Here is a 26,538-nt window from a genome sequence, read left to right on the forward strand (position 1 = left end):
GGTGCGGTGGCTCACGCCTGTAATCCCAGCACTTTGGGAGGCCGAGGCGGGTGGATCACGAGGTCAGGAGATCGAGGCCAGCTTGACTAACATGGTGAAACCCTGTCTCTACTAAAAATATAAAAATTAGCTGGGTGTGGTGGTAAGCGCCTGTAATCCCAGCTACTCGGGAGGCTGAGGCAGGAGAATCGCTTGAACCTGGGAGGCAGAGGTTGCAGTGAGCTGAGATTGCGCCGTGCACTCCAACCTGGGCGATAGAGCGAGACTCCGTCTCAAAAAAAAAAAAAAAAAAAAAAATTTCCTTAAGGCAAACTACTGTGTGTTTTAATTGACTGGATTCCTGCCTACTAAATGATTATATTATTCTAGTCCGGCCTCCCTGAAATAACTGTATTATTACTCAAATGACAGTTTTTGTGTTTCTAGATCATTCAGTCACTTGATTATAAACAATCTGTTTTCTGCCACAGAAAACCAACTGCCTAGTATAGTGTGTGAGTTGTACATGTTCCTCCTCAGAGGGCTAGCTCATCTCCCAGAGTCCTAGGACACCTCTCTGGGCTTCTGTGTACTGATGATACTCCTCTAAGGTCACTTTTTTTTTTTTTTTTTTTTGAGAATCTCGGCTCACTGCAAGCTCCGCCTCCCGGGTTCACACCGTTCTACTGCCTCAGTCTCCTGAGTAGCTGGGACTACAGGCGCTCGCCACCACGCCCGGCTAATTTTTTGTATTTTTAGTAGAGATGGGGTTTCACCGTGTTAGTCAGGATGGTGTCGATCTTCTGACCTCGTGATCCTCCCGCCTCGCCCTCCCAAAGTACTGGGATTACAGGCATGAGCCACCGCGCCCGGCCCCCTTAGGTCACTTTTAAAGCAAAATTCCTGACAACATGGACTTCCTTTCCTCTACCATAATGAGTAGAGAGTCTTGAAAATTGCCCGGATCCCAGCCTCTAATTGGTATGTTTTCTCAGGGAGTTATCTGAAGAATGAAGGTGTTTTGCTTTAAGGGATAGGCTGGGGATGGAGGAGCGGGTTGTGCATAGTCATTTTCAGGTGTGGAAGACAAGCCAGTGCTACGCGGTTGCCATAGTAACCTGACGTCATATTAGCGACGGTGACGACTTTTTATTGAGACCAATTTGGCCTGGGGAGAACCGCCTTCAGGCGTTTGGACTCAGTGGAGGTTGTGAGTGCCCAGCAGTGTGGCCTGAATCTCCGTGGGGTTTAGGGAGACGAAAGGACCCCAGATCGACGTCCCCTCGTTCCCACTTTGGGGATCGGCGCTCTGGCTGTTTCGTGAAGGAGAGAGAGGTGGGTCTCTTCTGGCCCCAGTGAGTGTGGTGTCCTGCTCCAGGGTGTCCCGGGGCTACTTTCCCTGTAAAGGCGGGACGCGGGAGGATGAGACAGGTAAAGACCCTCTCTGAGCCCAGTTTCCCACTCTGTAAAATGGAAATAAAAATGCTCACCCACAGGATTGCTGAAACCTTCAGTGATAACATAGGTGCAAGACGATAGCCCTGTGGTTATTGCAGGATCAGGAATGCCTGTATGAAGTCAGGCCTCTTCTTGTTCTGTTTCAAACTTTCTTACAGTATAGACAAGGGAGAAACTTTATGTTTAACATGCATTTATGATAAGTTTATATATATATTTCTGACTGCATAAATAATAACCAGTGATTCCCATCAACACTATCAAATGAATGTTGAAATATAAAGTTAGTTAGAAGGCCTTCCTACCAATTTGAGATTATAATATGCATTCTCCCATATCTGTTGTATAATAAATTTGTTTATGAACTATAACTTATAAAGTGTCAATTAAAAAGTCATATGATGTTTTGATATATTTTATACATTGTAGAATGGCTGAATCAAGCTAATAAACCTATGCATTACCTAATGTACTTTTTTTTGTGGTGAACACTTAAAATCTACCCTTTTAGCAGTTTTCAAGTGTACAATATATTTTTATTAACCATGGTCACTATGATGTACAATAGATCCCTTGAATTTATCCCTCCTCTCTAACTGAAATTTTGTATCCATTGACCAACATCTCCCCAAACCCCTCCCCAGCCTCTGTCTGGTAATTACTGTTCTACTCTCTGCTTCTATGAGTTCAACTTATTTAGATTCCATATACAAGTGAGATTACGTGGTATTTGTCTTGCTGTGCCTGGCTTATTTCACTTAATGTCCTCCAGGTTCATCCATGTTGTCACAAATGACAGGATTTCCTTCTTTTTTCAAAAAGCTGAATAGTACGCCATTGTGTGCATGTATGACATTTTCTTTATTCATCTGTTGGTGGATACTTAGGTTGATTCCATACCCTGGCTATTGTGAATAATGCTGCAGTGAACATGGGAGTACATACATCTGTTTGAGGTACTAATTTCATTTCCTTTGGATATATACTCAGAAGGGGGACTGCTGGATCATTTGGTAATTCTATTTTTAGTTTTTTTCAGGAATGACCATACTGTTTCTGTAATATCTGTATAAATTTACATTCCCAGTATTGTACAAGGGTTCCATTTTTTTCCACATCCTTGTGAACACTTACCATCTTCTGTTTTTTTAAATAATGGCCATCCTAACAAGTGTGAGGTGATATCTTGTTATGGTTTTAATGTGCATTTCCCTGACAATTAGTGATATTGAGAATTTTTTCACATATCTGTTGGCCACTTGTATGTCTTACTTTGAAAAATGTATATTTTATTATATATGGACACATGATTATTGTACATATTTATGGGGGTACACTGTGATATTTCAATATATGTATACAATGTGTAGTGATAAAATCAGGGTAGTTAGCATATCCATCATCTCAAATCTTTATCATTTATATGTGCTGGTAACATTCAACATTTTCTCTTCTAGCTATTTGAAAAAATACATTAAATTATTGTTTGATAATTTAGTATAATGCTATAGAACACTAGAGATTATTCTTCCTATCCAGGGTCTGGAGTATGGGCTAGCCTTCAATGGATGTTAATCTAGTGTCTGGAGTACAGACATGTGCAAAGTGACCTTGGCTTAGGGGCCCGGATCCCAGCCTAGTTCCTCTAATTGGTATGTTTTCTCAGGGAGTTATCTGAAGAGTGAAGGTGTTTTGCTAGGTCTCTATGGCAGTGGCTCTGGTGTCTGAGGCATGGGCAGGCACAGTCAGGCACAGAGCTGGGGTCTGGAGTATGGGTATTTACAGAGTAGTTGTAGCTTGGGGGGGTCAGTGACACATGCAGCATTGGGACAGGTGGCACCTCTGGTCCCAGAGTGGTATAATAGCTGCTGCTTCTTGAGATGAGAAGTGTGTAGCCACTTCTCCCTCTCTGGGGTTCCTTGGGCAGGAATGGCTGTTGGTTATCTCAGTGGCGAAAGATGCCAGTGTCCTCTCCAGAGCAGACTGCTGGGGACCATGGTGATTCCTGCCACATGGCTAATAGCAATAGCCTTTGCCTTTCTTCTTTGCTCCTAGACATCTCCTGGCACCTCAAGTATACTGATCTCACCAGCAATATTTTCTGTGTGGATATTCCCCATTTTTTTTTCTACTGTGTTGCTGCAGATTCTTAAATGGGCCCCTGAGCCCTCCCATGAATACTTTAGTTTGTGGATAGCTGTCTACACTTGTTTTTTTGTGGCAGGGGGTGATGAAGGCTGATATCTCCTACTCTGCCCTCTTGGTCCTTCAGTATCTAGTTTGCCCTATTCTAATGATACCCTGCCATGTCCCCTAAAGGAACCGTATAGGCTTATATATCATTGTTATTATTTTCAAGGACATAACATTTTCAGTTCTGTTGTACCCAGCCTACCCATTCCTCCCACTGTCCTGTCTCCAGACAAATACAGCACTTTTGTCATTATAGATTAGATTTCATTTATTTAAAAATAATCATAGAGGTTTTTTTTTTATTTTTTTTTTTTAGGGATCTGGCTTCTTTCATTCACTCTATGTATTTTTAGATTTGTCCATTTTATTGCCTATTTCAATAGTTTTTTTTTTTTTATTACAGAGTAGCATTACAGTATAGGATATACTACAATTCGTTTTGTCCATTCACTTGCTAATGGATATTTGGGTTGTATTCAATTTAGGGGATCTTGTGTATGAGTCTTTACAGAGAAATGTGCTTTCTTTCTCTAGGGTAAATACTTAGGATTGCAGTGGCTGGAACATGTTATAGATGTAAGACTAACATTGTAAGAAACTGCCAAACTGTTTTCAAAGTGGTTGTACCATTTTTCATTGTCTCAGCAGAGCTTCATCCTCCACAACCTCGTCAGTGCTTGGTATGGTCAGTCTCTAACTTTAGTGATTCTCATGCGGCGATAAAACAAGACGACCCAATGGAGCTTAATTAGGCCACACACAAAAAACATTAACTATTTAAAGGAATAATATTTAATCTACTGGGCTAAAAATTTCAGTTGGGGTAACTTCAGAGCACCGTACAACCTCTGAATGATTAAAACCCGGACTAGACTAGTTATTCATAAAAGTGTGTTATAATTTATTGACCCAAGCAATTTGATCAATAGAACAAGTTACCCTAGGGATAACAGCATGATCATATCTTAGAGTTCATATCAACCATAGGGATTTACAATCCTGATGTGGGATCAGAACATCTCAATAGTATAACAGCTATTTTTTTTTTTTTTTTTTTTGAGACGAAGTCTCGCCCCGTCGCCCAGGCTGGAGTGCAGTGGTGCAATCTCGGCTCACTGCAACCTCTGCCTCCCAGGTTCAAGCGATTCTCTTGCCTCGGCCTCCCGAGTAGCTGGGACTACAGGCGCCCGCCACCTCGCCTGGCTGATTTTTTGAATTTTTAGTAGAGACGGGGTTTCACCGTGTTAGTCAGGATGGTCTGGATCTCCTGACCTTGTGATCCGCCCGCCTCAGCCTCCCAAAGTGCTGGGATTACAGACGTGAGCCACCGCGCCTGGCCAGCAGCTATTAATTGTTTATGTTTTCAGTGACCAAAGTCCTACATGATTTAAGTTCAGGATCTGGGTTGGTTTCCACCTATTTAATATTTCTCCCAATACAAAAAGAGAAGAGAATTATGGCACACAAAAAGCACCCTCAATTCAAAAGATGATATAATCTAGATCTAATTTATTATTATACACTTTGCCCCAAAACAGGGCTTGTTAAGATGGTAGAGCCTGGTAATTGCATAAAACTTGAAATTTTATAATCAGAGGTTCAATTACTCTTCTTTTTAAAATAATTGTTTATTTTATTTTTATTTTTTGTGGGTATACAGTAGGTGTATGTATTTATGGGGTACATGGGACGTTTTGATACAGGCATGTAATGCATATCAATCACATCGTGGAAAATGGGTATCTCCTCAAGAATTTATCCTTTCTGTTACAAAAAAATCCAATTATACTCTTTTAGTTGTTTTAAAATATACAATTAAGTTATTATTGACTATAGTCACCCTGTTGTGCTATCAAATACTAGGTCCGTTTCATTCTATTTTTTGTACTGGTTAACCATCCCCCATCTCTCCCCAACCCTCCCCAATTCCTTTCCCAGCCTCTGGTAACCATCCTTCTACTCTCTATCTCCACAGGTTAAATTGTTTTGATTTTTAGACCCCACAAATAAATAAGAACATGCAAGGTTTCTCCTTCTATGTCTGGCTTACTTCACTTAACATAATGATCGCCAGTTCCATCCATGTTTTTGCAAATGACTGGATCTCATTATTTTTTATGGCTGAGTAGTACTCCATCGTGTATAAGTACCACATTTTCTTTATCCATTCATCTGTTGATGGACACAGGCTTCTTCCAACTCTTGTCTATTGTGAACAGAGTGGCAACAAACATGGGAGTGCAGATGTCTCTTCAATATACTGATTTCCTTTCTTTTGGGTATATATCCAGAGTAGGATTGCTGGATCACATGGGTAGCTCTATTTTCAGTTTTCTGAGGAACCTCCAAACTGTTCTCTACAATGGTTGTAGTAATTTACGTTCCCACCAACAGTGTACGAGGGTTCTTTTTTCTCCACATCTTCACCTGCAATTGTTATTGCCCGTCTTTTGGACATAAGCCATTTTAACTGAGAAGGGATGATATCTCATTGTAGTTTTGATTTGCATTTCTCTGATGATTCATTACGTTGAGCACCTATATATGCCTGTTTGTCATTTGTATGTCTTCCTTTGAGAAATGTCTATTCAGATATATATATATATTTTTTTTTTTTTTTTTTTTTTTAGACGGAGTCTTGCTCTGTCAGCAGGCTGGAGTGCAGTGGCGCAATCTCGGCTCACTGCAACCTCCACCTCCTGGGTTCAAGCGATTCTCCTGCCTCAGCCTCCCGAGTAGCTGGGACTACAGGCGCATGCCACCATGCCCAGCTAATTTTTGTATTTTTAGTAGAGATGGGGTTTCACCATTTTGGCCAGGATGGTCTCGATCTCTTGACCTCGTGATCCACCCACCTTGGCCTCCCAAGGTACTGGGATTACAGGCATGAGCCACCGTGCCCGGCCTGCCCATTTTAAATTCAGATTATTATATTTTTTCCTATAGAACTATTTGAGATACTTATACATCTGGTTATTAATTCCTTGTCAGATGGGTAGTTTGCAAACATTTTTACCCATTCTGTGGTTGTTTCTTAACTTTGTTGATTGTTTCCTCTGCTGTGCAGAAGCCTTTTAACTTGATGTGATGCTATTTGTCCATTTTTGCTCTGGTTGCCTGTGCTTGTGGGGTATTACTCAAGAAATTTTTGCCCAGACTGATGTTCTGGAGAGTTTTCCCAAAGTTTTCTTGTAGTAGTTTTATAGTTTGAGGTCTTAGATTTAATTCTTTAATCCATTTTGATTTGATTTTTGTACATGATGAGAGATAGGGGTCTAGTTTCATTCTTCTGCATATAGGTATCCAGTTTTCCCAGGACCATTTATTGAAGGTACTGTCTTTACAGTATATGTTCTTGGCACCTTTATCAAAAATGATTTCACTGTAGGCGTATGCATTTCTTTCCGGGATCTCTATTCTGTTCCATTCATCTATGTGTCTGTTTTTATGACAGTAGTATGCTGTTTTGGTTACTATAGCTCTGCAGTATAATTTGAAGTCAGGTAATGTGATTCCTCCACTTTTATTCTTATTGCTCAGGATCGCTTTAGCTATTCTGGGTCTTTTGTGGTTCTATATCCCTTTTAGGGTACTTTTTTTCTATTTCTATGAAGATTGTCATTGGTATTTTGATAGGAATTGCATTGAATCTGTAGATTGCTTTGGGTAGTATGGGCATTTTAACAATATTGATTTTTCCAGTGCCTGAACGAGGGATATTTTTCCATCTTCTGGTGTCCCCTTCAATTTATTTCATCAGTCCTTTGTGGTTTTCATTATAGAGGTCTTTCACTTCTTTGGTTAATTCCTAGGTATTTTATTTCGTTTGTGGCTATTGTAAATGGGATTACATTTTTATTTTTTTTTTCAGATTGCTCACTGTTGGCATATAGAAATGCTACTGATTTTTCCATGTTGATTTTGTATCCTGCAACTTTACTGAATTTATTTATTAGTATGAATAGTTTTTTGGTGGAGTCTAGGTTTTTCCAAATATAAGATAATGTCATCTGCAAACAAGGATGATTTTAATTCTTCCTTTCCAACTTGGAGGCACTTTATAGCTTTCTCTTCTTTGGATGCTCTAGCTAAGAGCTCCAGTACTGTATTAAATAACAGTGGTGAAAGTGGCCGGCCATATTATGTTCCAGATCTTAGAGAAAAGGCTTTCAATTTTTTTTCCCATTCAGTATGATACTAGCTGTGGGTCTGTCAATATGGGTTTTATTATGTTGAGGTATGTTCCTTCTACCCCAGTTTTTTAGGGTTTTTATCAAGAAAGAGATGTTGAATTTTATCAAATGCTTTTCCAGCATCAATTGAAATGATCATATGGTTTTTGTCTTTCTGTTGACATGATATATCACATTGATTGATTTGCATATGTTAAACTGTCCTTGCATCCCAAAGATAAATCCCACTTGGTCATGATGAATGATCTTTTTGATGTATCATTGAATTGGGTTTTGCTGGTATTTTGCTGAAGATTTTTGCATCAATATTCATCATAGAAATTGGCCTATAGTTTTTTTTTAGTGTGTTTTTGTCTGGTTTTGGTATCAAAATAATACTGTCCTCATAGAATGAGTTTGGCAGTATTCCTTCCTTCTGTTTTTTGGAATAGTTTGAGTAGGATTTGGGTATTAGTTCTCTTTAAATGTTTGGTAGAATTTAGCAGTAAAGCCATGGGGTCCTGGACTTTTTCGTTACTGGGTGTATTAGTCTGTTTTCACACTGCTGATAAAGACATACCCCAGACTGAGACTGGGCAATTTACAAAAGAAAGAGGTTTAATTGGACTTAACAGTTCCACATGGCTGGGGAAACCTCACAATAATGGTGGAAGGCAAGGAGATACAAGTCACACCTTATATGAATGGCAGCAGGCAAACAGAGAGAGAGAGCTTGTGCAGAGAAACTCCCATCTTTAAAACCATCAGATCTCATGAGACCGGTTCACTATGACAAGAACAGCATGAGAAAGACCTATCCCCATAATTCAAACATCTTCCCCCAGGTCCCTCGCACAACATGTGGGAATTATGGGAGCTACAAGATGAGATTTGCGTGGGGACAAAGAGCCAAACCGTTATCACTGGGGAGACTTTTTACTATGGCTTTAATCTCATTACTTGTTTTTTTCTTTTTTTTTTTTTACTTTAAGTTTTAGGGTACATGTGCACAACGTGCAGATTAGTTACATATGTATACATGTGCCATGTTGGTGTGCTGCACCCATTAATTCGTCATTTAACATTAGGTATATCTCATAATGCTATCCCTCCCCCCTCCCCCCAGCCCACAACAGGCCCCGGTGTGTGATGTTCCCCTTCCTGTGTCCATGTGTTCTCATTGTTCAATTCCCACCTATGAGTGAGAACATGCGGTGTTTGGTTTTTTGTCCTTGTGATAGTTTGCTGAGAATGATGGTTTCCAGCTTCACCCATGTCCCTGCAAAGGACATGAACTCATCATTTTTTGTGGCTGCATAGTAATCCATGGTGTATATGTGCCACATTTTCTTTTTTTTTTTTTTTTTTTTGAGACGGAGTCTCGCTCTGTCGCCCAGGCCAGACTGCGGACTGCAGTGGCGCAATCTCGGCTCACTGCAAGCTCCGCTTCTCGGGTTCACGCCATTCTCCTGCCTCAGCCTCCCGAGTAGCTGGGACTACAGGCACCCGCCACCGCGCCCGGCTAATTTTTTGTATTTTTAGTAGAGACAGGGTTTCACCTTGTTAGCCAGGATGGTCTCGATCTCCTGACCTCATGATCCACCCGCCTCGGCCTCCCAAAGTGCTGGGATTACAGGCGTGAGACACCGCGCCCGGCCGCCACATTTTCTTAATCCAGTCTATCATTGTTGGACATTTGGGTTGGCTCCAAGTCTTCGCTATTGTGAATAGTGCCGCAATAAACATACGTGTGCATGTGTCTTTATAGCAGCATGATTTATAATCCTTTGGGTATATACCCAGTAATGGGATGGCTGGGTCAAATGGTATTTCTAGTTCTAGATCCCTGAGGAATCGCCACACTGACTTCCACAATGGTTGAACTAGTTTACAGTCCCACCAACAGTGTAAAAGTGTTCCTATTTCTCCACATCCTCTCCAGCACCTGTTGTTTCCTGACTTTTTAATGATTGCCATTCTAACTGGTGTGAGATGGTATCTCATTGTGGTTTTGATTTGCATTTCTCTGATGGCCAGTGATGATGAGCATTTTTTCATGTGTCTTTTGGCTGCATAAATGTCTTCTTCTGAGAAGTGTCTATTCATATCCTTTGCCCACTTTTTGATGGGGTTGTTTGTTTTTTTCTTGTAAATTTATTTGAATTCATTGTAGGTTCTGGATATTAGCCCTTTGTCAGATGAGTAGATTGCAAAAATTTTCTCCCATTCTGTAGGTTGCCTTTTCACTCTGATGGTAGTTTCTTTTGCTGTGCAGAAGCTCTTTAGTTTAATTAGATCCCATTTGTCAATTTTGGCTTTTGTTGCCACTGCTTTTGGTGTTTTAGACATGAAGTCCTTGCCCATGCCTGTGTCCTGAATGGTATTGCCTAGGTTTTCTTCTAGGGTTTTTATGGTTTTAGGTCTAACATTTAAGTCTTTAATCCATCTTGAATTAATTTTTGTATAAGGTGTAAGGAAGGGATCCAGTTTCAGCTTTTTACATGTGGCTAGCCAGTTTTCCCAATGCCATTTATTAAATAGGGAATCATTTCCCCATTTCTTGTTTTTGTCAGGTTTGTCAAAGATCAGATGGTTATAGATATGTGGCATTATTTCTGAGGGCTCTGTTGTGTTCCATTGGTCTATATCTCTGTTTTGGTACCAGTACCATGCTGTTTTGGTTACTGTAGCCTTGTAGTATAGTTTGAAGTCAGGTAGCGTGATGCCTCCAGCTTTGTTCTTTTGGCTTAGGATTGACTTGGCAATGCAGGCTCTTTTTTGGTTCCATATGAACTTTAAAGTAGTTTTTTCCAATTCTGTGAAGAAAGTCATTGGTAGCTTGATGGGGATGGCATTGAATCTATAAATTACCTTGGGCAGTATGGTCATTCTCATGATATTGATTCTTCCTACCCATGAGCATGGAATGTTCTTCCATTTGTTTGTATCCTCTTATTTCATTGAGCAGTGATTTGTAGTTCTCCTTGAAGAGGTCCTTCACGTTCCTTGTAAGTTGGATTCCTAGGTATTTTATTCTCTTTGAAGCAATTGTGAATGGGAGTTCACTCATGATTTGGCTCTCTGTTTGTCTGTTATTGGTGTATAAGAATGCTTGTGATTTTTGCACATTGATTTTGTATACTGAGACTTTGCTGAAGTTGCCTATCAGCTTATGGAGATTTTTGGGCTGAGATGATGGGGTTTTCTAGATATACAATCATGTCATCTGCAAACAGGGACAATTTGACTTCCTCTTTTCCTAATTGAATACCCTTTATTTCCTTCTCCTGCCTGATTGCCCTGGTCAGAACTTCCAACACTATGTTGAATAGGAGTGGTGAGAGAGGGCATCCCTGTCTTGTGCCAGTTTTCAAAGGGAATGCTTCCAGTTTTTGCCCATTCAGTATGATATTGGCTGTGGGTTTGTCATAGATAGCTCTTATTATTTTGAGATACGTCCCATCAATACCTAGTTTATTGAGAGTTTTTAGTATGAAGGTTGTTGAATTTAGTCAAAGGCCTTTTCTGCATCTATTGAGATAATCATGTGGTTTTTGTCATTGGTTCTGTTTATATGCTGGATTACGTTTATTGATTTGTGTATGTTGAACCAGGCTTGCATCCCAGGGATGAAGCCCACTTGATCATGGTGGATAAGCTTTTTGATGAGCTGCTGGATTTGGTTTGCCAGTATTTTATTGAGGATTTTTGCATCGATGTTCATCAGGGATATTGGTCTAGAATTCTCTTTTTTTGTTGTGTCTCTGCCAGGCTTTGGTATCAGGATGATGCTGTCCTCATAAAATGAGTTAGGGAGGATTCCCTCTTTTTCTATTGATTGGAATAGTTTCAGAAGGAATGGTACCAGCTCCTCCTTGTACCTCTGGTAGAATTCGGCTGTGAATCCTTCTGGTCCTGGACTTTTTTGGTTGGTAAGCTATCAATTATTGCCTCAATTTCAGAGCCTGTTATTGGTCTATTCAGAGATTCAACTTCTTCCTGGTTTAGTCTTGGGAGGGTGTATGTGTCAAGGAATTCATCCATTTCTTCTAGATTTTCTAGTTTATTTCATAGAGTTGTTTATAGTATTCTCTGGTGATAGTTTGTATTTCTGTGGGATCGGTGGTGATATCCCCTTTATCATTTTTTATTGTGTCCATTTGATTCTTCTCTCTTTTCTTCTTTATTAGTCTTGCTAGCGGTCTATCAATTTTGTTGATCTTTTCAAAAAACCAGCGACTGGATTCATTAATTTTTTGAAGGGTTTTTTGTGTCTCTATTTCCTTCAGTTCTGCTCTGATCTTAGTTATTTCTTGCCTTCTGCTAGCTTTTGAATGTGTTTGCTCTTGCTTCTCTAGTTCTTTTAATTATGATGTTAGGGTGTCAATTTTAGATCTTTCCTGCTTTCTCTTGTGGGCATGTAGTGCTATAAATTTCCCTCTACACACTGCTTTGAATGTGTCCCAGAGATTCTGGTATGTTGTGTCTTTGTTCTTGTTGGTTTCAAAGAACATCTTTATTTCTGCCTTCATTTCGTTATGTACCTAGTAGTCATTCAGGAGTAGGTTGTTCAGTTTCCATGTAGTTGAGTGGTTTCGAGTGAATTTCTTAATCCTGAGTTCTAGTTTGATTGCACTGTGGTCTGAGAGACAGTTTGTTATAATTTCTATTCTTTTACATTTGCTGAGGAGTGCTTTACTTCCAACTATGTGGTCAGTTTTGGAATGAGTGTGGTGTGGTGCTGAAAAGAATGTATATTCTGTTGATTTGGGGTAGAGAGTTCTGTAGATGTCTATTAGGTCCACTTGGTGCAGAGCTGAGTTCAATTCCTGGATATCCTTGTGAACTGTCTGTCTCGTTGATCTGCCTAATGTTGACAGTGGGGTGTTAAAGTCTCCCATTATTATTGTGTGGGAGTCTAAGTCTCTTTGTAGGTCACTAAGGACTTGCTTTATGAATCTGGCTGCTCCTGTATTGGGTGCATATATATTTAGGATAGTTAGCTCTTCTTGTTGAATTGATCCCTTTACCGTTATGTAATGGCCTTCATTGTCTCTTTTGATCTTTGTTGGTTTAAAGTCTGTTTTATCAGAGACTAGGATTGCAACCCCTGCCTTTTTTTGTTTTCCATTTGCTTGGTAGATCTTCCTCCATCCCTTTATTTTGAGCCTATGTGTGTCTCTGCACGTGAGATGGGTTTCCTGAATACAGCACACTGATGGGTCTTGACTCTTTATCCAATTTGCCAGTCTGTGTCTTTTAATTGGAGCATTTAGCCCATTTACATTTAAGGTTAATATTGTTTTGTGTGAATTTGATCCTGTCATTATGACGTTAGCTGGTTATTTTGCTTGTTAGTTGATGCAGTTTCTTCCTAGCCTCGATGGTCTTTACAATTTGGCATGTTTTTGCAGTGGCTGGTACCGGTTGTTCCTTTCCATGTTTAGTGCTTCCTTCAGGAGCTCTTTTAGGGCAGGCCTGGTGGTGACAAAATCTCCCAGCATTTGCTCGTCTGTAAAGTATTTTATTTTTCCTTTACTTATGAAGCTTAGTTTGGCTGGATATGACATTCTGGGTTGAAAATTCTTTTCTTTAAGAATGTTGAATATTGGCTCCCACTCTCTTCTGGCTTGTAGAGTTTCTGCAGAGAAATCAGCTGTTAGTCTGATGGGCTTCCCTTTGTGGGCAACCCACCGTTTCTCTCTCTCTGCCCTTAACATTTTTTCCTTCATTTCAACTTTGGTGTATCTGACAATTATGTGTCTTGGAGTTGCTCTTCTCAAGGAGTATCTTTGTGGCATTCTCTGTATTTCCTGAATTTGAATGTTGGCCTGCCTTGCTAGATTGGGGAAGTTCTCCTGGATAATATCCTGCAGAGTGTTTTCCAACTTGGTTCCATCCTCCCCGTCACTTTCAGGCACACCAATCAGACGTAGATTTGGTCTTTTCACATAGTCCCACGTTTCTTGGAGGCTTTGTTCGTTTTTTTTTATTCTTTTTTCTGTAAACTTCTCTTCTCGCTTCATTTCATTCATTTAGTCTTCCATCACTGATACCCTTTCTTCCAGTTGATCGAATTGGCTACTGAGACTTGTGCATTCATCACGTAGTTCTTGTGCCTTGGTTTTCAGCTCCATCAGGTCCTTTAAGGACTTCTCTGCATTGGTTATTGTAGTTAGCCATTCATCTAATTTTTTTTCAAGGTTTTTAACTTCTTTGCCATGGGTTCGAACTTGCTCCTTTAGCTCGGAGTAGTTCGATCATCTGAAGCCTTCTCTCAACTCGTCAGAGTCATTTGCTGTCCATCTTTGTTCCATTGCTGGTGAGGAGCTGCGTTAATCTCATTACTTGTTATGTGTCGGTTCAGGTTTTGGATTTCTTCCTGGTTCAATCTTGGTAGGTTGTATGTGTCTAAAATCCGTTCATTTCTTTTAGATTTTCAAATTTATTGGCATATTGTTACTCATATTAGCCACTAATGATCATTTGCTTTTCTGTGCTATCAGCTGTAATGTCTCCTTTTTCATCTCTTATTTTATTTATTTGTGTCTTCTTTTATTTTCTTAGTCTGGATACAGGTTTGTCAATTTCATTTAACTTTGCAAAAACCCAAGTTTTTGTTTCGGTGATCTTTTGTGTTGTTTTCTTCATTTTTATTTCATTTATATCTGCTCTGATCTTCATTTATTTTCTTCTAATTTGGGGTTTGAGATTTATTCTTGCTTTTGTAGTTCTTTAAGATGCATCATTAAGTTGTTTATTTGAAGGTTTTTACATTTGATGTAGACATTTATACCTATAAACTTCCCTCTGAGTACTGCTTTTGCTGTATCCCATAGGTTTTAGTGTTTCCATTATTATTTGTTTCAATAACTTTTTCAACTTCCTTCTTAATTTCTTTCTTTTCATACAGGTCATTCAGGAACATAATGTTTAATTTCCACATTTTTGCATAGTTTCCAAAATTCCTCTTGTTATTGATTTTTAATTTCATTCCATTGTGGTCAGAGAAGATGCTTGATATTATTTTAGTTTTTTGAATGTTTTCAGACTTGTTTTGTGACCTGCCATATGGTCTATCCTTGAGAATGAGCCCTGTGCTGAGGAAAAGAATGTGTGTTCTACAGCCATTGAATAAAATATTCTGTAAATTTCTATTTGGTCCATTTGATCCATAGTTTTGATTAAGTCCAAAATTTCTTTGTTAATTTTCTGTCTGGGAGATCTTTCCAATGCTGACAGTGAGGTGTTGACGTCTCCAGCTATTATTACATTGGAATCTATATATCTCTTTAGCTCTAGTAATATTTGCTTTATATACCTGGGTGCTCCAGTGTTGGGTATATATATATTCTTAAAATTGTTATTTCCTCTTGCTGAATTGATCCTTTCATCATTATATAGTGACCTTCTTTGTCTCTTCTTATAGTTTTTGTCTTGAAATCTATTTTGTCTCATATGAGTATAGATATTCATGCTCTTTTTTGGTTGCTGTTGACATGGAATATCTTTTTTCATTGCTTTATTTTCAGCTTATATGTGCCTTTATAGGTGAAGTGTGTTTCCAGGGACCAATCCTGGAGAAATAGAGATATGTGACCTTATTTAGTTCATTTGGTGAGGTCATGTTTTCCTGGCTGGTCTTGATACTTGTAGATGTTTGTCTGTGTCTGGGCATAATGGAGTTAGGTATTTATTGTACTCTTCAGTCTGGGCTTGTTTTTACCCATCCTTTTTGGGAAGGCTTTCCAAAAGGACTTGAATGTTGTGATCTAAACTGTATCTGCTTTAGGTGGGACCGCAAGCCTAGGATTGTGCTGGGCCTGACCTGAAGCCAGCACATCACTGGGTCTCACCCAAGGCCTGCTGTAACCACTTCCTGGCTACCACCTATGTTTGCTTAAAGCCCTGGGGCTCTACAATCTTCAGGTGGCAAAGCTAGCTAGGCCCATGTCCTTCCCTTCAGGGAAGCAAGTTCCCTCAGGGCCTTGGTGGATCCAGAGGTGTCATCCAGAATCTAGGGACTAGAGTCAAAAACCTTAGAAGTCTGCCTGGCGTTCTAGTGCACTGTGGATGAGCTGGCACTCAAACCACAAGATGCAGTCTTTCCCACTCTTTTCTCCCCTTTCCAAAGGCAGAGGAGCCTCACCTCATGGCCAATGCCACCTCAGGCCCACAGGAATATTGCCAGATTACTTCTGATCCTCCCTTAAGGCCCAAAGTCTCTTCAGTCAGCTTGTGGTGAATAGTGACTCACCTGGGGTTCACCATTCAGGGAAGTGGACTCCCCTCTGGCCCAGGGCAGGTTAAGAAATACTATCGAAGAATGAAGTCCTGGAATTAGTCCCACCAAGTGGGATCCCAGGAGCCCACTTGGTGCTCTACCCCCCTGTGGCTGAGCTGGTACCTAAAGTGTAAGACAAAGTTCCTTTTACTTTTCCCTCTATTTTTCTCAAGCAGAAGGAGTCTCATTCCATAGCCAACACAGTTGGGAATGTGCTGAGTGTCACCTGAAGCCAGTAAGTCTCAGAGTCTCACCCAAGGCCCTCAACATATTACCTGGGTATCACCACTGGTTATTCTGGGCTCAAGGGCTCTTCAGTTAGCAGGTGATAAATTCTGCCAGGAGCAGGACTAGGTCCTTCCCTTCAAGCAGTGGGTTCCCTTCTGGCCCAGGGTTTGTGTAGAAATGTCATCTGGGAGCTAGGGCCTGGAAAGGGGACCTCATGACTCTAATTGGTCCTCTATCCTGCTGTGGCTGAGCTGATATCCAAGATGCAAGACAAAGTCCTCCCACTGTTCTTTGTCCTCAAGTGGAAGCAAGAGATCTCTTTTGGAGCCGAGAGCTTTGCAACCTGGGTTTAGGGGATGTGTGATACCAGCACTCCCTTAGTTGTGCAGGCTGATGTCTTAGTAGGTCAAGTGCCCCTCTAGTCCACTGGCAGTGGGCCCAGTTTAGCACTAGGACTCGTCAGGTGTTGCAATCCTTGTGGCCTAGACTGCCTTTCAGATTTATTCGGAGACCCCAAGCACTTTAGGTCACAGTGGTGAGGCCTGTGGAAACTCAAGTTCGGACCACTGGGATCAGCAATTCTGCTTTGGCTAGGTCTGGTTTAAATTCTCCCTCCATGGGTAGGCATTAGGTGGGTTTGGTCCGGTTTTGCTTTCTGCTGTAACAAGGGCAGTGCTGAGTTCAATGCCTCACAATTGCTGGCCCTCCCTCTCTCCAGCACACAGAAACTCTCAGCACCAGGTTGCTGCTGCTGGGCAATGGGGGCGACAGGGAAGGGGTGGTGTTCAGTATTCAAGACTGTTTTTCCTGCCTCTTCAGTGCCTCCTTCAGTGATATGAAATTCAAACCTGGTACTGTGAGTGGTTAACGGGCGTTTGGCTTTTATGAAGGTGCTTTTTTGTGTGTAGATAGTTGTTAAGTTGGCACCCTTGTCAGGGGGTGTTGGGACAATCGGTGGGGCCTTCTATTCCATTATCTCATTATCTTACTCTGCCCCTCTCCTCAACTTTTTTTTTTTTTTTTTTTTGAGGCAGAATCTCATTCTCCCACCCAGGCTGGAGTGCAGTGGCATGATCTCGGCTCACTGCAACCTCCACCTCCCGGATTCAAGTGATTCTCCTGCCTCAGCCTCCTGAGTAGCCGGGACTACAGGTGCGTGCCACCACGCCTGGCTAATTTTTTGTATTTTTAGTAGAGATGGGGTTTTACCGTGTTAGCCAGGATGGTCTCGATCTCCTGACCTCATGATCCGCCCACCTCAGCCTCCCAAAGTACTGGGATTACGGGCATAAGCCACCACACCCAGCCAACTATTCTTCTTAACAGTGTGTTTATAATTGATCTTAACCTACTCATTACCCCTGCCATTCTCTCTATAGCATTCTTAACATTAGTTGAACAAAATGTATTAGCCTATATGCAGCTTCTCAAAGGGCCTAACAGTATAGGCCCCTGTGGCCTACTTCAACCCTTTGTAGGCACAATAAAACTGTTAAAGAGCCACTGTGACCACTGACATCTTCTATACTCTTATACAGTATTGCACCTACCCTAGCCCTACCCCTTGTACTTACTATATGAATCCCATTACCTATACCACATCCATTAATTAGCCTAAACATAGGAATGCTATTCATCTTAGGTACATCAAGCCTAGCCATATCTTCTATCCTATGATCAGGATGAGCATCAAATTCAAATTATGCATTAATTGGTACACTATGAGCAGCAGCACAAACAATTTCATATGAAGTCACCCTAGCCATTATCCTATTACCAGTTCTCCTAATAAACAGATCATTTACACTGTCAATATTCTAATTATTACCATAGAATATATATGACTAGTTCTTCCATCATGACCCTTGTTCATAATAAAATTTATTTCAACACTAACAGAAACTACTTGAGCTCTATTCATTCTGACAGAGGATGAGTCAGAACTGGTAACAGGCTTTAAAGTTGACTATGCTGCAGGCCTATTTGCCCAAATGTTTTAAATAGCAGAATACACCAACATCAATATAATAAGCACTAAACACTATCATTTTTCTAGGGGCACTCCATGACATTCACATACAGGAAATTTATGTAATCAATTCTATCATTAAAACACTCCTCTTATGAGTTCATGCATCATATCCACAATTCCAATATGATCAACTCACGCACCTGTTTGAAAATTTTTTTTTAGCATTTGCACTAGCATTATGCATGACACATCTATATGCCCATTTTACTATCTAGTATTCTACCAAAAACATTTTAAAAAGTCTAATAAAAATTATTTTCATAGAGTAAATAAAAGAGGTTTAAATCCTCTATTTACAGGATTATAGGAATTGAACCTACTCTCTTAAGAATTCAAAAATCTTTGTGCTACCTGATACACTATATTCTATAGTAAGGGCAGCTTAATAAGCTGTTCTGTCCATACCCTGAAAATTTTGGTTTATATCCTTTTTGTACTAATTAATCCCTTAATCTTTTCTACCATCCCATCTACTCTGTTCATAGGAACCATAATCACTTATTCAGCTCACAGTGATTAATAATCTGAATAGGACTAGAAATAAATATATATCATTACCCCCATTTTAATCAAATAAGCAAACCCATGATCCACAGAAGTAGCTACATATTAACACAAGCACCTCTATCTATACTCCTAACAATGCTCATTATCATTATATATTGTACTCTGGACAATGAAGAGTTGTAAAAATTTCCAGCCAAACAGCATCCCTAATAATTATTATAGCACTAGTTATGAGATTTGGATTATCACCCTTCCATTTTGAAGTGCCAGTAGTTACACAAGAAATCTCAGTAACATCAGTTGTAATTCTACTAACATGATGACAATGTGAAAGGAAAATAAATCTTGGGACCCCAAGCTCATTAAGCCAAAGGGAAAAGTTAAGCCGGGAACTGGGTCACTCAAAACTGTCTCCCCCTTTTGATTCCTAAATAAGATGACTACAAGATGAAAAGCTACATGCTTCCCCCATATTTTGCCCACAAGGAAATTCCTAGTGAGCTCCAAGATCTTTACCCTAAGGTGTTTCTGTTAAAATTTCACCATGACAATGTAACTCCATAGCTCATTGACAGGTGCAATCACTCCCCTGCCCACGTGACACAAATGCATATCTGATTGTTCCCCTGCCCCATTTTGCCTATGTTATCTTATGTAAAAATACAGATTCCCTGCATTTTTCCTCTGCCCCATTTGTCTGTGTCATCCTAAGTAAAAATGCAGATTCACTGAGCCAGACAAAGACATGAATCACTATTTTTCCTTATCCCCCTCTTACATGAAAATTGTGTACTTCTCAATACCCTGCCCTTTTCCCTTTAAATTTGGAGCCCTCAAAATCATCTTAGGAGAAAGGCATAGACCTGTTTCCTGGGTGCACATCCTTAACTTTGGCAAATAAACCTCCTAAAATAATTGAGACTTGTCTCCTCATTTTTCTTGATTGACAACAACTAGCACCAATTTCAATTATGTTTCAGGTATCATCATCAGTTGATCTAAATATAATGCTAAAAATTGCTATGTTGTCTGTTCTAGTAAGAGGGTGAGGAGGACTTAATCAGACAAAACTTTGAAAAATCTTAGCCTACACATCAATTGCACACATAGGCTGAAAAACAACTACCTTCTTTTATAGCCCTTCCACAATAATTCTAAATTTACTAATTTATGTAATCCTAATACTCACCATATTCATAATATTTAGCTTAAATACAAACACCACAACCCTATCACTATCACACATATGGAATAAGTTACCATTAATAATTTCCATAATCCTTATTACCCTTTTATCCTTAGGTCTACCCCCACTTACAGGATTTCTTCTCAAATGAATTATTATTCAAGAACTAACAAAAACCACACCATCATCATGGCAACATTTAAAGCTATTATAGTGTTACTCAACCCATACTTTTATATACGATTAATCTATCCTACATCATTAACCGTGTTTCCAACAAACATTAACATAAAAACAAAATGACAGCTCACAAATTTAAAACATTCTTTCTACTGTGAATCCCCAAAATTTGAGACAAATCTCAGCTAATTTAGAAAGTTTATTTTGCCAAGGTTGAGGATATGTGCTCATGACACAGCCTCAGGAGGTCCTGATGACATGTGCCCAGGGTGGTCAGAGCACAGCTTGGTTTTATACAATTTAGGGAGACATGAACCATCGATCAACATATGTAAAATGAACATTAGTTTGGTCTGGAAAGATGGGACAACTCTAAACAAAAGCAGGACAATTTGAAGCAGGGAAGGGGCTTCCAGGTCACAGGTAGGTGAGAGAAACTTGGTTGCATTTTTTTTGAGTTTCTGATTTGCCTTTCCAAAGGGAGCAATCAGGTATGCATTTATCTCAGTGAGCAGAGGGATGACTTTGAATAGAATGGGAGGCAGGTTTACCCCAGGCAGTTCCCAGATTGAATTTTCCCTTTAGCTTAGTGATTTTGGGGGCCCAAGATATTTTCCTTTCACATTCCCCCCCACATCCCCAACCTTTTATTTTTAAAAATCTTTTGGAGAAAGCATTTTAGAAGAAAATGAGTCTCTGGTCCCAGGTTTTATCTGATCTCTCATGGCTAGGATGGTTTTTTCCTAGACAGGTAGGTCCTGATTTATTAGGAAAAGCTCATTTTTAGCAGGTTGTTAAGTCTCATGTCCTATGAAGAAAAAATAGGGGAAGGAAGGGAGAAAAACAACAACAAACAAAAGAACGAACCTGGAAAATCAATATAGGCAACGTTACTCTGAAGTCCATACATCAGTAGGCAGGTATGAAGGTGGCTTATGTATGTAAATAGGTTGCTCTTATTTTTGCTGTAGTTTAAATTGTCTAGCTTCAGTTCACAGGGCTATATGAAAACACAGCTTAGTTTCAGTGACTTAAAATTAGGAAAAATGGGGAAAAAAGGAAAAGAAAGTTGAAAACATTATTTTGCAGGCTTGTAGCCAAGAAAAATTAGAATTCTATCCAAACAGTAGAAAATAATAAAATGGAAAAATGTTAGGCAAGATTAGAATCTAACAACAGGTGTACTATAGTTTTGAAACCATTTTTCTCTCTCCAGTTTCCCATTTTTACTAAAGACAAATTATGGTAGGACTGGTTTGCTTTATTCTACTTGGCCTAATTATTTGTATACAATGCAGCAAGAATAATTATTTTTTACATAGGCTTTTAAATTGGCTTCAATGGTACTTTGTTCCATAGAAGGAATCTCAGATAAGACTTTTTTAAAGCCGAGCCCAGCCATGGATTTGTGCCATCAAATTCCTGTGAGTTGGGTGAATTTCCTCTTCTCTTGAGGTTCCAAGATAAACTTGGGGCTCCTGGGCCTGTCAGAAAGTGACATTCTTTACTTGCCACCGGTTAGGAACCCTGTACAGAGCTGTGCAGACAAAGGTAAGAGGCTACTTTTTCCAAGGGGCTGTTATTGGCTCCGTAAATTAGGTTTGATACCTTAAAGGATAGCACACCATTCCAGTCAAAGCCTTGGTAAAATAACCAGTTTCTTCAATTGTGTCCTGTTACACATGAAAACAGATTCTTATTGCACTTACGCAAATAACTATATTGTCATAAGTTAAGAATACTCACAAATAGTTTCCAAATTCTGGAGAAATTAGGTAGAGAGAAATATGCTTCAAATTTTGTTCACAGGAGTATAGTTTACTCAATTGTTACAAGCTGTAACTAGCTTGAAAGTTTTCCTGACTCTGAAAAACAAAACAAAGGATTAGCAAGGTTTTAACCAAAAAGTTAAAAAGATTACTTTAGTCTTCTATTAGTTCAGTTCACACAGTTAACTCCTGTTCTGCTTGATATTCATGAACATTTCAGCTCTTCATGAGAGTCCTGAAAGTTTTTTCCTCTATTCTAATGTCACAAACTCCAAAGTTATCAGAAACCTGCGTTTAACAACGCCTGTTACACAGTTCTATGGCTGATTATAAAACCACCTTCTAAGGAGGATCAAACAAGACAATTGTCTGTGAATGACAAAAGCTTTTAGGGCAACCATAGTCAAAGACACAATTGACAAGGAAATTTGTTACCTCTGTGGCATACAATAATTTAACATAACAATTATAATTATTACTAATAATGTACACTAAGTCATATCAGAATTATAGGAGTTTCCCGTGATTTTGGAACACATACCAATAACATTTATACAAATACATCCTAAAGAAAACCAAATACCTTTTCATATTTGACACTGTTTCCTGTATAATTTTTATACCAAATAAGCCAAATTATTTCATTTTTGGACTTTAGGGAAACTAATATCTCAAAGGATTAATTAGATCAGAAAAAGATATAATTTGTAATTTGATTTTGGAAAGTTTGTCAAATATCAAAGGGTTAAAACACTTGATATCACAGGTCATTGTAAAATAAGTCATTCATTTGATCAAAATGATAACTCAAGGATTTCAAAAAAAAGGTGAAAACCTTCATTCTTTGATAGAAGAGACTTGATTTTCCAAACAGTCAGCCCTAATAAAAAGAGCATGAAGCCAATTAAGTGTTTTTCAAAATTTTGTAGTCTATAAAATTTTAATTTTGACCATAAGATAATAGCTTCCATAAGCCTTTCATAACCTTTATAACCTCTATTTAGGAGTCAGTTAATGCTTCAAGAAAACCTTGTTAATCTGACATGGGCGCATATGCTGGTCTTGCATCAGTGTGCCTTTGACATTAATGATTAATTTATAGGGAAACTGAATTTATTTTATGTCTCAAAATTGGCCCTTATAATCTCATATGCCCACCTCTTCTGCGATAGTCCCTGGGCCTTGAGGAGTTGAATAGCTCTAATTTCTGGCCCTGTGTTTCAGGAATGCAGTTTATTTTGATTGGCATCTTCTACCAGGCCTGAAGATGGGGCTTTAACTGCTGTCAGTGTTTAAAATTTAGCAGGACTTGGTGTCCTTTTTAGACCCAGGAGTCAAACCCCTGTAACTCAATGTCACAAGTACTTTAAAAGTGCATACAGAGAGAAACACAGATGTTAATAATGTTAATTTTTTTATTTATTTCTTCTAACAAAAAATGGGATACATGTGCAGAATGTGCAGGTTTGTTACATAGGTTGTTACATAGGTATGCATGTGCCATGGTGATTTCCTGCACCTATTGACCCATCCTCTAAGTTCCCTCCCCTCACACCCCCACCCCCCAACAGGCCCTGGTGTGTGTCATTCCCCTCTCTGTGTCCATGAGTTCTCAATGTTCAACTCCCACTTATGAGTGAGAACATGCAGTGTTTGGTTTTCCGTTCCTGCATTAGTTTGCTAAGGTTGATGGCTTCCAGCTTCATCCATGTCCCTGCAAAGTACATGATCTCATTCCTTTTTATGGCTGCATAGTATTCCATGGTGTGTATTTACCACGTTTTCTTTATCCAGTCTATCATTGATGAGCATTTGGATTGGTTCTATGTCTTTGCTATTATAAATAGCTGCAATAGACATATGTGTGCATGTGTCTTCATAGTAGAATGATTTATATTCCTTTGAGTATATACCCAGTAATGGGATTGTTGGGTCAAATGGTATTTCTGGTTCTAGATCCTTGAGGAATCACCACACTGTCTTCCACAATGGTTGAACTAATTTACATTCCCACCAACAGTGTAAAATAGTTCCTATTTTTCCACAGCCTCTCCAGCACCTATTGTTTTCTGACTTTTTGATAATCACCACTCTGACTGGTGTGAGATGGTATCTCATTGTGGTTTTGATTTGCATTTCTCTGATGATCGGTGATGTTGAGCTTTATTTCATATGTTTGTTGGCTGTGTAAATGTCTTCTTTTGAAAGTGTCTGTTCATATCCTTTGCCCACTTTTTGATGGAGTTATCTTTTTCTTGTAAATATGTTTAAGTTCCTTGTAAATTCTGGGCATTAAATACTTGTCAGATGGGTGGATTACAAAATTTTTCTCCCATTCTGTAGGTTGCCTGTTCACTCTGATGATAGTTTCTTTTGCTGTGCAGAAGCTCTTCGGTTTAATTAGATCCCATTTGTCAATTTTGGCTTTTGTCACAATGGCTTTTGGCATTTTTGTCATGAAGTCTTTGCCCATGCCTATGTCCTGAATCGTACTGCCTTGGTTTTCTTCCAGAGTTTTTATGGTTTGGGATATTACATTTAATTCTTTAATCCATCTTGAGTTAATTTTTGTATAATGTGTAAGGAAGGGGTCCAGTTTCAGTTTTCTGCATATGGCTAGCCAGTTTTCCCTGCACCATTTACTGAATAGGAGATCCTTTCCCCATTGCTTGTTTTTGTCTGGTTTGTCAAAGATCAGAATGTTGTAGATGTGTGGTGTTATTTCTGAGGTCTCTGTTTTGTTCTATTGGTCTATATATCTGTTTTGGTAACACTACCATGCTGTTTTGGTTACTGTAGCCTTGTAGTATAGTTTTAAGTCAGGTAGCATGGTGCCTCCAGCTTTGTTATTTTTGCTTAGGATTGTCGTGGCTATACAGGGTCTTCTTTGATTCCATATGAAATTTAAAGTAGTTTTTTTTTCTAATTCTGTGAGGAATGTCAATGGTAGTTTGATGGAAATAGCATTGAATCTATAAATTACTTTGGGCAGTATGGCCATTTTCGTGATATTGATTCTTCCTATCCATGAAGATGGAATGTTTTTCCATTTATTTGTGTCCTTTCTTATTTCCTTGAGCCAGTGGTTTGTAGTTCTCCTTGAAGAGTTCCTTCACATCCCTTGTTAGCTGTATTCCTAGGTATTTCATTCTCTTTGTAGCGATTGTGAATGGGAGTTCATTCACGATTTGGCTTTGTGCTTGCCTATTGTTGGTGTAAAGAAATGTTATTTTTGCACATTGATTTTGTATCCTAAGACTTTGCTAAAATTGCTTATCAGTTCAAGAAGTTTTTGGGCAGAGATGATGGGGTTTTCTAAATATAAAATCATGTCATCTGCAAACAGAGACAACTTGACTTCCTCTCTTCCTATTTGAATACACTTTATTTCTTTCTCTTGCCTGATTGCCCTGGCCAGAACTTCCAATACTATGTTGAATAGGAGTTTTGAGAGAGGGCATTCTTGCTTTGTACCAGTTTTCAAAGGGAGTGCTTCCAGCTTTTGCCCATTCAGTATGATATTGGCTGTGGGTTTGTCATAAATTGCTCTTATTATTTTAAGATATGTTCCATCAATACTTAGTTTATTGAGAGTTTTTAACATGAAGGGATGTTGAATTTTATCAAAGGCCTTTTCTGCATCTATTGAGATAATCATGTGGTTTTTGTCTTTGGTTCTGATTATGTGATGGATTCCATTTATTGATTTGTGTATGTTGAACCAGACTTGCATCCCAGGGATGAAGCTGACTTGATCATGGTGGATATGTTTTTTGATGTGCTGCTGGATTCAGATTGCCAGTATTTTATTGAGGATTTTTACATCAATGTTCATCAGTGATATTATCCTGAAGTTTTCTTTTTTTGTTCTGTCTCTGCCAGGTTTGGTATCAGGATGATGCTAGCATCATAAAATGTGTTAGGGAGGAATCATTCCTTTTCAATTGTTTGGAATAGTTTCAGAAGGAATAGTACCAACTCCTCTTTGTATTTGTGGTAGAATTCAGCTGTGAATCTGTCTGGTCCTGGACTTTTTTTGGTTGGTAGGCTATTAATTACTGCCTCAATTTCAAAACTTGTTATTGGTCTATTCAGGGATTCAACTTCTTCCTGGTTTAGTCTTGGTAGGGTGTATGTGTCCAGGAATTTATCCATTTCTTCTAGATTTTCTAGTTTATTTGTGTAGAGGTGTTTATAGTATTCTCTGATGGTAGTTTGTATTTCTGTGAGGTCAGTGGTGATATCCCTTTATCAACTTTTATTGTGTCTATTTTATTCTTCTCTCTCTTCTTCTTGTCTAGCTAGTGGTCTATCTATTTTGTTAATTTTTTCAAAAAAACAGCTCCTGGATTCATTTGGTTTTTGAAGGGTTTTTCATGTCTCTATCTCCTTCAAGTTTTCTCTGATTTTAGTTATCTCTTGTCTTCTGCTAGCTTTTGGATTAGTTTGCTCTTGCCTCTAGCTCTTTCAATTGTGATGTTGGGGTGTCGATTTGAGATCTTTCTAGCTTTCTGATGTGGGCATTTCGTGCTATAAATTTCCCTCTTAAC

At 39.1% G+C, this 26,538-nt stretch overlaps 1 protein-coding gene, 1 long non-coding RNA gene and 2 pseudogenes across 9 annotated transcripts in view; all 4 read left to right on the top strand.

Moving 5' to 3' along the window:
- ARMCX5-GPRASP2 (ARMCX5-GPRASP2 readthrough) overlaps positions 1–26,538 on the top strand; it is a 308,717-nt gene that overhangs the window by 168,680 nt on the left and 113,499 nt on the right. The window lies entirely within an intron of this gene.
- LINC00630 (long intergenic non-protein coding RNA 630) overlaps positions 1,126–26,538 on the top strand; it is a 195,371-nt gene continuing 169,958 nt past the window's right edge. For 6 of the 7 annotated variants that reach the window (NR_146589.1, NR_146593.1, NR_146591.1 and 3 more), the window contains exon 1: positions 1,126–1,314. This is a non-coding gene — a long non-coding RNA (long intergenic non-protein coding RNA 630). Of the gene's footprint in view, positions 1,315–2,324; positions 2,394–26,538 lie in introns of all 7 variants that reach the window. The other variant, NR_038988.2, reaches the window with a different exon arrangement.
- Positions 17,651–18,577, top strand: MTND1P32 (MT-ND1 pseudogene 32; annotated as a pseudogene).
- MTND2P2 (MT-ND2 pseudogene 2) lies at positions 18,787–20,361 on the top strand (annotated as a pseudogene).

This window comes from Homo sapiens, chromosome X (assembly GCF_000001405.40).
Source record: "Homo sapiens chromosome X, GRCh38.p14 Primary Assembly".
NCBI classification, from domain to species: Eukaryota; Metazoa; Chordata; class Mammalia; order Primates; family Hominidae; genus Homo; species Homo sapiens.